This window comes from Homo sapiens, chromosome 6, assembly GCF_000001405.40.
Source record: "Homo sapiens chromosome 6, GRCh38.p14 Primary Assembly".
Taxonomy (NCBI): domain Eukaryota; kingdom Metazoa; phylum Chordata; class Mammalia; order Primates; family Hominidae; genus Homo; species Homo sapiens.
In genome coordinates, this window is record NC_000006.12 from 56,265,541 (window position 1) to 56,281,939 (window position 16,399).

Sequence of the window (16,399 nt, forward strand, 5' to 3'; positions counted from 1 at the left end):
AAGTCTATTTCAAAAACACAGTGCATAAGCAAATGCTGTAGGTGTCATCATTCAAAATCCCTTTACCTAAAGAAGACTCCATATCCCATGGTTCCCACTGGTGACAGATCATACCATCTTAATTCAGTGGACAATAGACCTGCCTCCACCTACATCTTTTAGTTAGATCTTTTTATTTGCTTCTTCCATGTTCAAAAGGATTTTTTGTTTGTTTGGGGGAGGATTTAACACTACTTGTTGACAGAAACATTTTAGGAAAAAATATCTTCCTAGATAGTTTGAAAACATTAAATAATGAATAAAATGACTGATGCTACTTGGAGTCTTATAGAGCAAAAGCTTTAGAAGAAAATTACATTCCATCTATCTATGAGAAAAAAAAATTAAGTAAATACACATTCGCAACTAAAGTTTATTAAATATTAAGTTTAACTTAAAAAGGCCCATGAACCCTGCCTCAGCAGTTGTTAAAGCCTCTGTCCCAGTGCTTTTAACGAGGCAATTTTACTCTGGGTAACCAGTAGCCTTTATAGGCCTGTAATCTAACAAAACATGCTAACACAATTATGACTTACAGCTTAATTAATGCTGATGACAAAAGACAGTGAATTAGTGTTATCTTAGGCCATGTTCATTCTTCCCACCGAAAATCAAAGCAAAAGTAAAATTCAAACTCTGGAGATAAATCAGCTTCATGAATGTCATAAACATCTAATATAAAATTAGAAAATATAAAAGTACTGAACGTTCTAGACAAGGAGCTGGCAAACTACAGCCTTTGGACCAAATCTAGGCTGGTACCTGTGTTTATAAATAAAGTTTCATTGGAACACAGCCATGATCTTTTTTGTTTTTTTGTTTTTTGAGGTTTGTCTGCATATTGTCTACAGTTGCTTTCACACTGTAGTAGCATAGTTGGGTAGTTGTGACAGAGACTGCATGGGAACAGAGACTGTATGAGCAACAAAGCTTAAAATATTTACTACTTGGCATTTTACAGAAAATCTTTACTGACTCCTGCTAGATGCAATGCAAAATCTTCAGCTCTGCTAAAATGACTGCTGTTCTTTGAAAGAAAAGTACCTAAGTACATACCTTTTCTGGTAAGATTAATTTAGATGGACTAATAGAACAAATAGATCTGTAGACAGACAGATAAACTCTCCACTTTAGTAATATTTTCATTCTCAGTGTCTGAAGGAGATGAATAAAGGATATTAAAGGTGCTCTTCTAATCTTAAGAATCACTTTATTCTTTAAAGAATGTATTGAATGAAGATTACTTACCTCAAATTATGTTCAAGAAAAGAAAATAATTTTACTATTCCTTTCCTTTGTGCAGTTAACTATTAATAGCTCATATTGACTCAGTCACATCTATATATTATTCACAGCAAACAGCTCGGGCAGAATGTACATATATATTTTTTAAATCCTGTTAACTTAAGCTTGACTTTAGCCTAAGGAAGAGACAATGAGCATCCTCTTCAACTCCTCTTCCACAGAGAAGTCTAGATGATTAATCTTAATTCTCTATATGGCAGACATTCACCAAAATATGTTGTATGCTTCACATTTCTTAAAATACATAAGGTGTCATGAAAGTTGTAAGTTGACATTCAATATGATAATAATAATAGTCAACATACCTTGAGAGTCAACAAAGTACTAAGCACTGTTCTAAGAGTGTACAGCAGAGTCTGTCCTGATCTTCATCAAACCTGCTTCCTCTTCCTAGTAACATTGCCTGAATTCTGGCCAATGGAATGTTCCTGGTGCATAAAAACTTTTTCTGCATAATCCTCCATGCTTTCTCCTTTTCACTGATTTGACAGAGATGAGCCCAGCAACTTGAGAAATCACTGTTGAAGTTAAGTAAGCCCCAAGATGGAAAAAACCTGGGTCCCCAAACACAGTTTAGAAGAGAGCCTCCTGGCCAGGCACAGTGACTCATGCCTGTAATCCCAGCACTTTGGGAGGCAGAGGTGGGCAGATCATATGAGGTCAGAAAGTTCGAGACCAGCCTGGCCAACATGGCGAAAACCCATCTCTACTAAAAATACAAAACAGCCAGGCATGGTGGCAGGCGCCTGTAATCCCAGCTACTCGGGAGGCTGAGGCAGGGAGAATCGCTTGAACCCAGGAGGTGGAGGTTGCAGTGAGCCAACATCATGCCATTGCACTCCAGCCTGGGCAACAGAGCAAGACTCTGTTAAAAAAAAAAAAAAAAAAGAAGAAGAAGAAGAAGAAGAGAGCCTCCTATCTAAGAAGATTTCTTATTTGCAGGGAGGGGATAAGATGACCAACTAGATGCAGCCAGAAAGCACCATTCCCACTGAAAGAGACCAAAATATACAGTAAGAAAACATACTTTGAGCAGACCTGAGAGCACAGCCTCCACTGCCCAGCCTTTGTGCTTTGCTCCACCTGAGTACTTTCCCAGTGGCCTGAAAGCACTTTGGATCCCCCAGCACAACTGGAGCTAGATCCCAAGGGTCTGGAAGATGGAACCAGAGGCCGTTCCCAGTATCCCAAAGCTACAGCGCTGAGCTGGAAGTGTCAATTCAAGCGGAGATGTGTGGTGAGAACTAAAGCAGGGGAGGAGCCCACACTCTCAGAGCACTAAGAAGGGTGAAATGCATGGGTTCATGGGCCGACACAGGAGCAGGGCATGCTTCCATTCATAGGTCCAGTCCAGAAAGAATGTAAGCTATCGCCCTGCCATGGCCTCTACCCAAAGTAGCCCCACAGCCCGGAACATCTAATAAAGGAAACATGGGTGCGGTTCCAGGGATCAGAATGAGCTTTCCCAAGACCCAGGAACAGACCTGATGAGGGAATCATGTCTCTCAAACCCCCACTACAGAGCATGGTTGTGAACACAAGGAAATACAAAAGAGCCATGTGGCTAAGTAAAAGCCATTCTTCCCACCACTACTCTCAATGACCACCTAATGAATCACAACTCAAACCACCACACCAAAAATATTCTGTCAATATATACCCCTGTGAAACCAAGGGCAAGAATCCAGACACAAATAAAGATCCTGTACTGAGACTTGGCCCTCTGAAAGTACTGAGAAATGAAGCCAATTGACTATACTCAACTTACACCACAGATAAAGGAACATCAGCCCTCTCAGATGAGAAAGAATTAGCATAAGAACTCTGGCCATTCAAAAAGGCAAAGTGTTCCCTTACCTCCAAACAAGCCCAGTATCCACCCAGCAGTCGTTCTTAATCAGAATGATATGATAGACATAGAATTCAGAATCTGGATGGCAAGGAAGCTCACTGAGATGCAGGAGAAAGTTGAAACTCAATACAAGGAATCCAGTAAGATGATCCAAGAGCTGAAAGATGAAACAGCCATTTTAAGAAAGAACAAAACTGAATTTCTGAACTGAAAAATTTACCACAAGAATTTCATAATACAATTGGAAGTATTAACAGCAGAATAGACCAAGCTGAGGAAAGAATCTGAGCTCAAAGACCAGTTCTTCAAATCAACTCACATAAAAATAAATCAAAAACTTCTAAAATAAACAAAACATCTGAGAAATATGAGATTATGTAAGAACAAACCTACAACTATTGACACTCATGAGAGAAAAGGAGAGAGAATAATCAACTTGGAAAATATATTTGAGGACATAGTCCACAAAAATTCCCCTAATATTGCTAGACAGCTAACATGCCAATTCAAGAAATAAAAAGAATCTCTGCTAAATACTATACAAGATAACTGTCCCCAAGACACATAGTCATCAGATTCACCAAAGTCAACATGAAAGAAAAAAATCTTACAGGCAGCTAGAAAGAAGTGACAGGTCGGCCGGGCGCGGTGGCTCACGCCTGTAATCCCAGCACTTTGGGAGGCCGAGGCGGGCGGATCACGAGGTCAGGAGATCGAGACCATCCCGGCTAAAACGGTGAAACCCCGTCTCTACTAAAAATACAAAAAATTAGCCGGGCGTAGTGGCGGGCGCCTGTAGTCCCAGCTACTTGGGAGGCTGAGGCAGGAGAATGGCGTGAACCTGGGAGGCAGAGCTTGCAGTGAGCCAAGATCCCGCCACTGCACTCCAGCCTGGGCGACAGAGCGAGACTCCGTCTCAAAAAAAAAAAAAAAAAAAAAAAAAAGAAGTGACAGGTCACTAACAAAGGGAACCCCATCAGGCTAGCAGTGGACCTCTCAGCAGAAACCACAAAAGCCAGAAGAGGTTGAAGGTCTATTTTCAGCATCCTTAAAGAAAAGAAATTCCAATCAAGAATCTCATATCCTTTCAAACCAAGTTTCATAAGCAAAGGAGAAATAAAATCCTTCTCAGACAAGCAAACACTGATGGAATTCATCACAACCAAATCAGACTTACAAGAGGTTCTTAAGAGAGTGCTAAACATGGTAACAAAAGAACGACACCTGCTACCACAAAAGCACACTTAAATGCATAGCCCAGAAACACTATAAAGCAACTACACAATCAAGTCTACAAAACAACTAGCTAGCAATACAATGACAAAATAAAATTTCACATATCAATACTACCCCTTAATGTCCCTGCCCCACTTAAAAGACATAGAGTGGCAAGCTAAATAAAAAGACAAGACCCAAACATCCTCTGGCTTCAAGATACTCATCTCACATGTAGTGATACCCACAGGCTCAATGTAAATAGAGAAAGATCTACCCCGCAAATGGAAAACAAAAACGGAGCAGAGATTGCTATTCTTATGTCAGCTAAAATAGACTTTAAACTGACAACAATTAATAAGGATAAAGAAGAGCATTACATGACACAAAAGATCCAATTCAACAAGAAGACTTAACTGTTGTAAATATACATGCACCTGACATCGGAGCACCCAGATTCACAAAACAAGTTCCTCTTGACTGATGAAAAGGCTTAGACAGCCATACAATAATAATGGGAGACTTCTACATCCCACTGACAGTATTAGACAGACCACTGAGGCAGAAAACTAACAAAGGAATTCTGGAATTAAATTCAACACTCAACTAATTGGACCAAATAGACATCTACAGAACACTCCACCCACCAGTCACAGAATATACAAGAAACATCCTGGTATGTTTCTCTCACCCTAATCTCATCTCAAATTGTAATCCCCACGTGTCCTGAAAGACATCTGGTAGGAGGTGACTGAAACATAGGGGTGGTTTCTCCAATGCTGTTCTCATGATAGTGAAGGAGTTCTCATGAAATCTGATGGTTTAAGACTGTGGCACTTCCTCCCTCATGCTCTGTCTCCTGTCACCTCATGAAGAAGGTGCCTGCTTCCCCTTCACCTTCTGCCACAATTGTAAGTTTCCTGAGGCCTCCACATCCAGGCAGAACTGTGAGTCAATTAAACCTCTTTTGTTTACAAATTACCCAGTCTCAGGTGGTATTCTTCACAGCAGTATGAAAACAGACTAATACAGGAAATTTGTACCAGGAGTGGGGCACTGCTATAAAGATAACCTGAAAATGTGGGAGCAACTTTAGAACTGGGTAACAGGAAGAGGTTGGAACAGTTTGGATGGCGCAGAAGAAGACAGTAAGATGAGGGAAAGTTTGGAACTTCCTAGAGACTGTTGAATGGTTTTGACCAAAATGCTGATAGTGACAATGAAGTCCAGGCTGAGATGGTCTCAGATGGAGATGAGGAACTTACTGGAACTGTAGAGCAAAGGTCACTCTTGTTATGCATTAGCAAACAGACTGACAGAATTTTGCCTCTGCCCTAGAGATCTGTGGAATTTTGAACTTGAGAGAGGGTATCTGGCAAAGAAATTTCCAAGCAGCAAACCAGATTTAGGGTATCTGGCAAAGAAATTTCTAAGCAGCAAAGTTTTCAAGAGGTGACCTAGCTTATTATGAAAGCATTCAGTTATATGCATTCACAAAGAGATGACTTGAAATTGGAACTTATGTTTAAAAGGGAAGCAGAGCATAAAGATTTGGAAAATTTGCAGCCCGACTATGTGGTAGAAAATAAAAACCCATTTTCTGGGGAGGAATTCAAGCCAGCTGCAGAAATGTGCATAAGTAACTAGGTGCTGAATATTAAGAGTCAAGAGAATGGGCAAAATGTCTCCAGAGCATGTCAGAGACCTTCACAGCAGCCCCTCCAAACACAAGCCCAAAGGTCTAGGAGGAAAAAATTGCTCTGTGGGCTTGGCCCAGGGCACCACTCCTCTGTGCAGCTTCAGGACTTGGTGTCCTGTGTCCCAGACACTCCAGCTCCAGCCATGCCTCAAAGGAGCCAAGGTACAGCTTAGGCCATTGCTTCAGAGGGTGCAAGCCCCACAGCTTGGTGGCTTCCATGTGGTGTTGGGACTGTGGGTGTACAAAACACAAGAGTTGAGCTTTGGGAGCCTCCACTTTGATATCGGAGGATGTATGGAAATGACTGGTGATCCAGGCAGAAGTCTGCTGCAGGGGCAGAGCCCTCAAGGAGAACCTCTACTAGGGCAGTGCAGAAGGGAAATGTGGGGTTGGAACCCCCAAGCAGAGTCCCCACTGGGGAACTGCCTACTGGAGCTGTGAGAAGAGGGCCACCATCTCCAGATCAGAGAAAGGTAGATCCACTGACAGCTTGCACCAAGCATCTGGAAAGGCTGCAGGCACTCAACACCAGCCCAAGAAAGCAGTCACAGGGGCAGAGCTGACCATGGTCTTGGGAGCTCATCCCTTGCATCAGCATTCCCTGGATGTGAGACCTGGAGTCATAGGAGATTATTTTGGAGCTTTAAGATTTAATGAGTGCCCTGCCAGGTTTTGGACTTGAATGGAGCCTGTGGCCCTTTTGTTTTGGAGTGGAAACATTTACCCAATGCCTGCACCCCCATTGTATCTTGGGAGTTAACTAACTCGATTTTCATTTTACAGGCTCATAGGCGGAAGGGACTAGCTTTGTCTCAAATGAGACTTTGGACTTTCAGGTTAATGCTGGAATGAGTTTAGACTTTGCAGGACTGTTACAAAGGCATAATTGGTTTTGAAATGAGAAAAGGACATGAGACTTGGGAGGGGCCAGGGGTGTAATGATGTGGCTTGGCTCTGTGTCCCCACCCAAATCTCATCTCCAATTGTAATCCCCATGTGTTGAGGGAGGGGCCTGGTGGGAAGTGATTGGATCATGGGGGTGGTTTCCCATGCTGTTCTCATGATAATGAGGGAGTTCTCATGAGATCTGATGGTTTAAAAGTGGCAGTTTCCCCTGAACTCTCTCTCTCTCCTGCTGCCTTGTGATGAAGGTACTTGCTTCTCCTTCATCTTCTGCCACAATTTTAAGTTTCCTGAGGCTCCCCAAGCCATATGGAACTGTGTGTCAATTAAACCTTTTTTCTTCATGAATTACCCAGTCTCAGGTAGTATCTTTACAGCAGTGTGAAAATGGACTAATACACATTCTAAGATCAAACACATGCTTGGTCATAAAGCAAATTTCAACAGATTTTAAAAAATCAAAATCATACCAACCACTTCCTTGGACCACAGCACAATAAAAATATAATTCAATATCAAGAAGATCTTTCAAAACTACACAAATACATTGCAAATAAACAACTTGCTCCTGAATAATTTCTGGGTGAACATAAAAATTAAGGCAGAAATTAAAAAGTTATTTGAAATTAATTAAAATAGGGACACAACACAACTTACCAAAATCTCTGGGATTCAGCCAAAGCAGTGTTAAGAGGAAACTTCATAGTGCTAAACACCTTCATCGAGAAGTTAGAAACATCTCAAATTAACAACCTAACTTTGCACTTACAAGAACTAGAAAAAAAGAACAAACTAACCCCAAAGATAGCAGAAGAAATAAATTAGAAAAGAAGTGAATGAAATTGAGATGCATGCATTCATATAAAAGATCAATGAAACCAAAAGTTAGTACTTCAAAAGAATAAACAAAATTGATAGACTGCTAGCTACATCAACAAAGAAAACAGAGAAGATCCAAATAAGCACAATCAGGAATGACAGAAATGACATTACAACTGATCACACATAAATACAAAGGACCCTCAGAGGCTACTATAGACAACTCCATGCACACAAATTACGAAACCTAAAGGATATGGATAAATTCCCAGAAGAATACAACCTCCTAAGATTGAATCAGGGAGAAAGTTTAAACTTGAACAAACAAATAACAAGTTCCAAAATTGAATTAGTAATAATAAACCAAAAACAATCCTGGCCCAGATAGATTCCTAGCCAAATTCTACCAGGCATTCAAAGAAGAACTGGTACCAATCATACTGAAACTATTCCAAAAAAGGAATTCTATTCAAGGAGGAGGAGGGGCTCCTCCCTAACTCATTCTATGATGCCAGCATCAGCATGATACAAAAATTTGACAGAGACACAATGAAAAAAGAAAAACTTCACACCAATAACCTTGGCGAACATACATGCAAAAATCCTCAAAAAAATGCTATCAAACCCAACCCCAGTAGCACATCAAAAAGATAATACACCACAAACAAGTAGGCTTTATTCTTGGGATGCAAGGCTGATTGATAAATGTGATTCACCACATAAATATAATTAAAAACAAAAACCTTATGATCATCTTATTAGACACAGAAAAAGCTTTCAATAAAATCCAACATCCCTTCATGATAAAAGTCCTTAACAGAGTAGGCATTGAAGTAACTTATGTCAAAATAATAGGAGCCATCTATGACAAACCCACAGGCAACATCATACAGAATGGGCCAAAGCTGGAAGCATTCCCCTTGAGAAGTAGAACAAGACAAGAATGCCTACTCTCACCACTCCTATTCAACATAGTACTGGAAGTCCTAACTAGAGCAATAAGGCAATAGAAAGAAATAAAAGGCATCCAAATAGGAAAAGAAGAAATGAAACTATCTCTCTTTGCTGATGATATGATTCTGTACATAGAAAACTCTAAAGACTTTGCCAAAAGGCCTAGAACTGACAAATGACTTCAAAAAAGTTTCAAGACATAAAATCAATGTAAATTTCAGTAGCATTTCTATACACCAATTACATTTAAGCTAAGAGTAAAACCAAGAGAACAACATCATTTACAATAGCTACACACAAAAAAGAAAAATGAAATACCTAGGAATACAGTTAACAATAGGGGTGACAGATCTCTACAAGGAGAACTACAAAATACTGCTGAAGGAAATCAGAGATGAAACAAAAAAATGGAAAAATATTCCATGCCTATGGATTAAAAAATCAGTATTATTAAAATGGCCATACTGTCCAAAGCAAATCATAAATTTAATGCTATTCCTATCTATGTCATTTTTCACAGAATTAGAAAAAACTATTCTAAAATTCATATGGAACCAAAAAAAAAGCCCAAAGAGCCAAAGCAATCCTAAGCAAAGAGAATAAATCTAGAGGCATCACAGCACTTGACTTAAAACAATACCATAAAGCTACAGTAACCAAAACAGTATGGTACTGGCACAAAAACAGTCACTTAGACAAATGGAACAGAATAGAGAACCCAGAAATAAAGTCCCACACTGCAACCATCTGATCTTTGTCTAAGCTGACAAAAAACAAGCAATTAGGAAAGGACTCCCTATTCAGTAAATGGTGCTCAGATAACTGACTAGCCATATGCAGAAGACTGAAACTGGACCCCTGCCTTTCATCATATATGAAAATTAACCCAAGATAGATTAAAGATTTAAATATAAGACCTCAAACTATAAAAATCCTAGAAGAAAACAGGAGATACCCTTCTCTACATTGCCCTTGACAAAGAATTTTTGGCTAAGTCCCCAAAAGCAATTGTAACACAAACAAAAATTGACAACTGGGACCTAATTAAATTAAAGAGCTTCTGCACAGCAAAATAAATGATCAATAGAATAAACAAACAACCTACAAACGGGGAGAAAATATTCACAAACTGTGCATCTGACAAAGGTCTAATATCCGGAATTTATAAGGATCTAAAACAAATCAACAAGGAAAAAAACAAATAATCCCGTTAAAAATGGATAAAAGACATGAACAGATACTTCTCCAATGATGAAATTGTATAAGCAGCCAAGAACCATATGAAAAAAAGATGCTCAACATCACTAATCATCAGAGAAATGCAAATCTAAACTACAGTGAGATAGATACCATCTCACACCAGTCAGAATGGCTATTATTAAAAAGTCAAAAAATGACAGATTCTGGCAATGCTATGGGAAAAGGGCATGCTTATACACTGTTGGTGGGAATACAAATGACTTCAGCGACTGTAGAAAGGAGTTTGGAGATTTGTCAAAGAATTTAAAACAGAGCTACCATTTGACCCAGCAATCTCATTATTGGGTACATGAAGAAAGAAAAATAAATCATTCTACCAAAAATATACATGTATGTGTATGTTCATCCCTGCACTATTCACAATAGCAAAGACATGGAATCAATCTAGTGCCCATTAACAGTGAATTGGATGAATCAAATGTGGTATATACACACCACAGAATCCTATGCAGCCATAAAAAAGAGTGAAATGTCCTTTCCAGCAACATGGAGGCAGCTAGAGACCAAAATCAGAGGCAAATTAACACAGGAACAGAATGCTAAATACCACATGTTCTCACGTATAAGTGGGAGCCAAACATTGTGTACACATGGTAAAGATGGGGACAATAGACACTGTGGATTACCAGAGGGGAGAAGGAGGAACATGAGTACGGGTTGAAAAACTGTCTATTGGGTACTATACTCAGTACTTGGGTGATAGGTTCAATCATACCCCAAACCTCAGCATCATGCAATAGAGCTTCAATATACCCCTGCAACAAACCTGGACATGTACCCCTGCATCTCAAATAAAAGTTGAAATAATTTTTAAAAAGGTTTCCTGTTTTGATCTTTTTTTTTTAAAGTCAACAAAAGTCTTTCTTTCTAATGTAAAAATACATACTTTTTTCAGAGAGAGGGGGAACAACTTAAAATAAACCAGAAAACACCTTCATATTAATCATTCTTCTTATATACTTCAAATTTGTACTTAATGCCTTTCTCCTCCTGGACATCAGAGAGAACGCCAGGGTATTCTGGCAGAAGTTTATATTTCTCAAAATCAATTTCTGGAAAACACGTGTCACTTTCAAAAGTCCTGCATGATCCTTGTCACAAATAGTTTAAGATGGCCTGGGTGATTCACGGCTTCCTTATAAACAGAACTGCCATCAAGTATCCAAATCATCTCTACTTTATTTGCTAATTCTGGTTGTTCAGTGAGTTGTGTTTTTTTTGTTTTTTTTGTTTTTTTTTTGAGACAGAGTCTCGCTCTGTCGCCCAGGCTGGAGTGCAGTGACGCGGTCCAGCTCACTGCAAGCTCTGCCTCCCGGGTTCACGCCATTCTACTGCCTCAGCCTCCCGAGTAGCTGGGACTACAGGCGCATGCCGCCACGCCTGGCTAATTTATTTTTATTTTTATTTTTATTTTTAGTAGAGATGGGTTTTCACAGTGTTAGCCAGGATGGTCTCAATCTCCTGACCTCATGATCCGCCCGCCTCGACCTCCCAAAGTGCTGGGATTACAGGTGTGAGCCATCACACCCAGCCGGTTGTTCAGTAAGTTTTGTTTTTTTGTTTTGTTTTGTTTTATACTTTAAGTTCTAGGGTACATGTGCACAATGTGCAGGTTTATTTCATATGTATACATGTGCCATGTTGGTGGGCTGCACCCATTAACTCGTCATTTACATTAGGTATATCTCCTAATGCTATCCCTCCCCACTCCCCTCAACCCACGACAGGCCCCGGTGTGCGATGTTCCCCTTCCTGTGTCCAGGTTTTCTCATTGCTCAATTCCCACCTATGAGTGAGAATATGTGGTGTTTTGATCTTTATGTGAGAAATTAAATTCTTTAATACTTGAACCATTATACATTTGGAGACTTGTTTGTTACTGCAGCTAGCATACATCACTCTAGCAGGTATTGTCATTTAATCAAGAGGTATTTTCATTAGCACTACTATGTATGCATAATAACTACCAAATACACTAAATAGTCATTCCTGTTAAGAGTGGCACCATAATTTATAAAAATATACCAATTCTTGTAGATATTTTACAACTGTGTAGCAGATTTTTTAAATGTCCTTAACTCCTTGATCTTAGAAATCCACATATTTTAAATCACATTTTGGGTAAGTCATTCAGATATTAAACATTCTCAGTGAAATTTGCAAATACTAAATAAATTACAGATAAGCATGTGAACCATAAAAATGTTAGTAATAGTTGGTGAATTCAAGTGAGACAGAAAGGTGGTTATTAAGATACAGACTTAACATGTATATTTCTGACAAAGGAACAGTATTTGTACTAATTACACAAATGCATGGGAATCCTACTTAAATCATAATTTGTTAATTCTCATATGTTTTTATATAATTTTGGTCAACATTAAAGACTCCTGGAACATCTTTCATTTGCTGAAGCATAAAATAATGATATTGTTCAAAGTGGCAAGTTTTTTCCTGCAAATCTGGTCTTTATTTCAAAACAACTTTGGATATTTTGTGCCACTTAGATTGGAATTGTTTCTGTATATTTTCTCTCTGGCAAACACAGAAGTAAACAAGTGCCAGAAACGCTCATCTTTCCTTTCCCATAAGAATTCTTACCACCATTATCCACACCCTGGAGCATTAGACCCGCTTTATTCAGTTTATGTGAATAGGCTAAAATAAATGGTGGGATGTTTAAACAACTGTGAGATAACTGCCTGGGGGTTACACTTAATGATCTCCAAAAGCATTCCAGCTGACACATCCCTGTGTACAAGCCAGAAGGGAGCAAAAGGTTTGACAGTAGGGGGTTGAAGAGGAGAGAAAAAAAGCTCTTTTGTATAAGCGCTTCATTCTTTGTCCTCTCATTCTCTCATTCTGTGTGGCCTGTGGAGGGGCCTATAAACACTGCATACCCCACCATTCCCCAAATGAGCTAAAGTCTTCATATGGCCCAAGACACTTCTTTCTTCCCATTCCCTTTTTTCCTTTCCTTCAGATATGCACTTTATAAAATAAGCATATTTGTGCATTCATGCAGCATGGTATATTTTACAAAGCTCTTTCACATCTGTTTTCACTGATCTCTAGAACAACTCTTTGGCTGAACAGATCATGGTCACAATCAGATGAAGAAAATGAGGCTCATGGCAGCAATTTCCCCATGTCACACCGATTGGTGGTGAATGATTGAACCTGTGTTGGAACCTCCACATACCTCATTAAACACCCCACTAAATATGCAAATATCTTCATCTCTCTAAACACCTTCCTTCTTGAAAGAGTAATGAAATACTCTAATTTCCTTGTCCTTAGATAAATTATGCTCATGCATGAGAATGAAGTTGCTTAGGCTGAGCTAGGGATTAGTGAGGGTAGAATGAGGCTGAGATAGATTCAATGGCTTGTGATATGTTTGGATCTGTGTCCCCACCCAAAGCTCATGTTGAATTGTAACCCCCAATGTTGGAGGTAGGGCCTGGTGGGAGGTAATTGGATCACAGAGATGTTTCTCATGAATGGTTTAGCACCATCCTCTTGGTGCTGATCTCCTTATAGTGAGTGAGTTCTCATGAGATCTGGGTGTTTAAAAGTGTTAGCACCTCCCACCTCACTCTTGTTCTTGCTGCACCTGCCATATTTGACACCTTGCTCCCCCTTTGTCTTCTGCCATGATTGTAAGTTTTCTGAGGCCTCCCCAGAAGCCAATCAGATGCCAGCATAATTTTTCCTGTACAGCCTGTGGAACTGTGAGCCAATTAAATATTTTATTTATAAATTATCCAGTCTCAGGTATTTATTTACAGCAATGTGAGAACTGACTAATACAGTTTGTGGTGAAGTTGGCTGCTAGGCATCTTTGCCTGGGACTCCTGTAGTTCCTGGAATTGCTGATAGCAACAGCAGGGGCCAGAATGTCTTTCTCTTGGCAATCAAGCAGCAGCCTCTCCTTTCCAATGCAGCTCTCATGAGGCCCATTCCATTCCAATTGTCAGATTTGATAACTCAAGGATTGTGCAGGAAAAATTCTGGAAATACTTAAGGGTGACTCAGAAATCTCAGGTGCAAAATAAAAGCTGCATTCATTTAATCACTTAAAAAATCAAGTGAGGTGCTTAAATGAGTCTTTGTGAATGTTGATTAACAACATTGTCTGTCAGCTTTGAACCAGAAAGATACACTAGTGAGAACACTGAGATGCCATCTCTTCTTCTGACTACCAGTGTCAGATAGCTTTGCATCTTGACTATGTGATTCAGATGATAACTTTCCCTTTATCTGTAAGACTACCAACCTCCTTCAGTAATCTAGGTTAATGTTTAATAGCAATGCAAGGAAGTTAAGCCTGATAAATCACCTAGTCCCTCAGTGACTCATCTGAATGCACTTCCTCCCCTCCTTTACCCTCCTCTTCCTCACTGTGGTAAATACACACATACAGACACACACAGAACACAAAAAGCTACCATCTTTCACTACATACGTTACCTTCCAAATAATGTTTTACTTACCTACAATCCACAAGTTGTACATCTCCTATTTATTTAATCATTTTTTTCATTGATTCAATGAATATTTATTGTGTTCAGTTCATACCAAGGACTCATCTAGGACACCTAATTTCAGTTCCACAAGCTTTTCCTGTGGGATTCCTTTACAAATATTCTTGCTAATATCATTCCTTCAACAAGTATTGACTAAGTCCTGAACTATCAAGAAATAAGTTTGGATAGATGGCACAGGACCAGGCTTTTATTGCTCGATTCTGCTTCCTTCCAAGTTTTTCAACGCTTCTCCAAATTCCTGATATTATTATGGATTCTTTGCACAACTGAATGCAGCTCAGTGTAACTATCACTCATGGAGCCTCCACTCTCAGCCAAGCACTGACCTGGCCCGCTGGAGATGAAAAGTGAACAAGACACTATTCCTACCCTTGAGGGGCTCACCTGTCTTTATGGTGAGTAAAGCGCTACCAGAAAAGCCCAATCAAGGACTCTGAGCATATAAGAAAGGAAGAAAGATGGAAACACTTGTGGCTTGCATACTTCTTGACCAGGCCAGGAATGTAGCACACAATCTTTTGTATGAAAGAGATTTATTCTCATCACTTTACAGATCAGGAAACTGAGCCTTATAGGGTCGAAACAATTCACCCTGGCTGGGCACAGTGGCTCACGACTATAATCCTAACACTTTGGGAGGTCAATGTGGGTGGATTATTGAGCCAGGAGTTCAAGACCACCCTGGGCAACATGGTGAAACCTCATCTCTACAAAAAATAAACACACACACGCAAAATAGCTGGGTGTGGCGGCACATACTAGAGGGGCTGAGGTAGGAGGATCACTGGAGCCTGAGAGGTTAAGCCTGCAGTGGGCCATGACTGTGCCACTGCACTCCAGCCTGGGCGACAGACAGAGACCCGGTCTCAAAAAATAAAGATAAAAAAAGTAATTTACCCAAATCTGCCTGACTATAAAGCCAGTGTCCATCCTACTACACCACACTTTCCTATGATCCTCACAGCTCAACATCTCAAACCCCTGTCTTCCCTCCAGCTTTCATATCCCAAGTATTCCTATTCCTAATTCCTAATTGGAAAGACATCAGAAACAGGACCACAGCCTAGCATGTTTGGGCTGACAGAATAAAAGAAAATGAGAGCTTTCATATGTCTTTGAAGATCATTGCCTTTCAATGAACTATGATAATATCAAATAACAGTTATAAAGTTAGAGTTTACAATGCCATTTCACATTTAAGTCATAAATAGTAAAAACTGCAAGAGGGTACTAAGAACATGTTTCGTCCTTTTTACATATAGTTAGCATGGCAATGAGGAAAAGCAAAAAGGTAACAGTGGGCATCACCCCAACCACCACTATTATCATTATCATCAACCTCAACAAGCAGAAAATGTTCCATGAGATTTAGATGCCAAGAATACTTCCAGAATTTTATAATTTTACTTACCTACAAAGTAAAATATCAAATTCTGCTGATATTCCTCCTCCTTGCATAGTGGATGAATGTTTCACCATTACAGTATGGATTTGTCTGTCTCTTTCTTTATCCCCATTAGCTTTGTGCTGCTAATCTGAAGCATCACTTCCATGGCCTGTGATTTGAGTGGTTGCCTCTAGATCTCAGTTTGAAAAATTAAGAAATAATAGAAATACCTGATCCTTGTATTAATTGAGCATCGACTAGGTAGAAGACTGAGTACAGGCATATATTAGATGGCATCTGGTCACAAGAGATAAAGCCTATAATTAAATAACTCATCACCACAAGAAGAAGTTGTGTCATAAGAAAGATATAGAAAAATACATTCTAAGAAGCTTGAAAAGGAGAAACAGTGAATT

General features: G+C 39.5%; 1 protein-coding gene and 1 pseudogene across 2 annotated transcripts in view, besides 2 other annotated features; both read right to left on the reverse strand.

The window, feature by feature from the left end:
- The window catches only part of COL21A1 (collagen type XXI alpha 1 chain), a 337,539-nt gene that overhangs the window by 208,951 nt on the left and 112,189 nt on the right, over positions 1 to 16,399 (reverse strand). The gene's annotated exons all lie outside the window — the stretch shown is intronic.
- DHFRP6 (dihydrofolate reductase pseudogene 6) lies at positions 10,890 to 11,255 on the reverse strand (annotated as a pseudogene).
- Positions 12,485 to 12,992: an enhancer, noted in NCBI's record as "NANOG hESC enhancer chr6:56142823-56143330 (GRCh37/hg19 assembly coordinates)". NCBI's record gives its function as "activates a minimal SCP1, AML or CMV promoter by ChIP-STARR-seq in naive H9 embryonic stem cells {active_cell/tissue: H9 hESC(naive)}" and the evidence as "EXISTENCE:reporter gene assay evidence [ECO:0000049][PMID:30033119]".
- Positions 13,714 to 14,215: an enhancer, noted in NCBI's record as "NANOG hESC enhancer chr6:56144052-56144553 (GRCh37/hg19 assembly coordinates)". NCBI's record gives its function as "activates a minimal SCP1, AML or CMV promoter by ChIP-STARR-seq in naive H9 embryonic stem cells {active_cell/tissue: H9 hESC(naive)}" and the evidence as "EXISTENCE:reporter gene assay evidence [ECO:0000049][PMID:30033119]".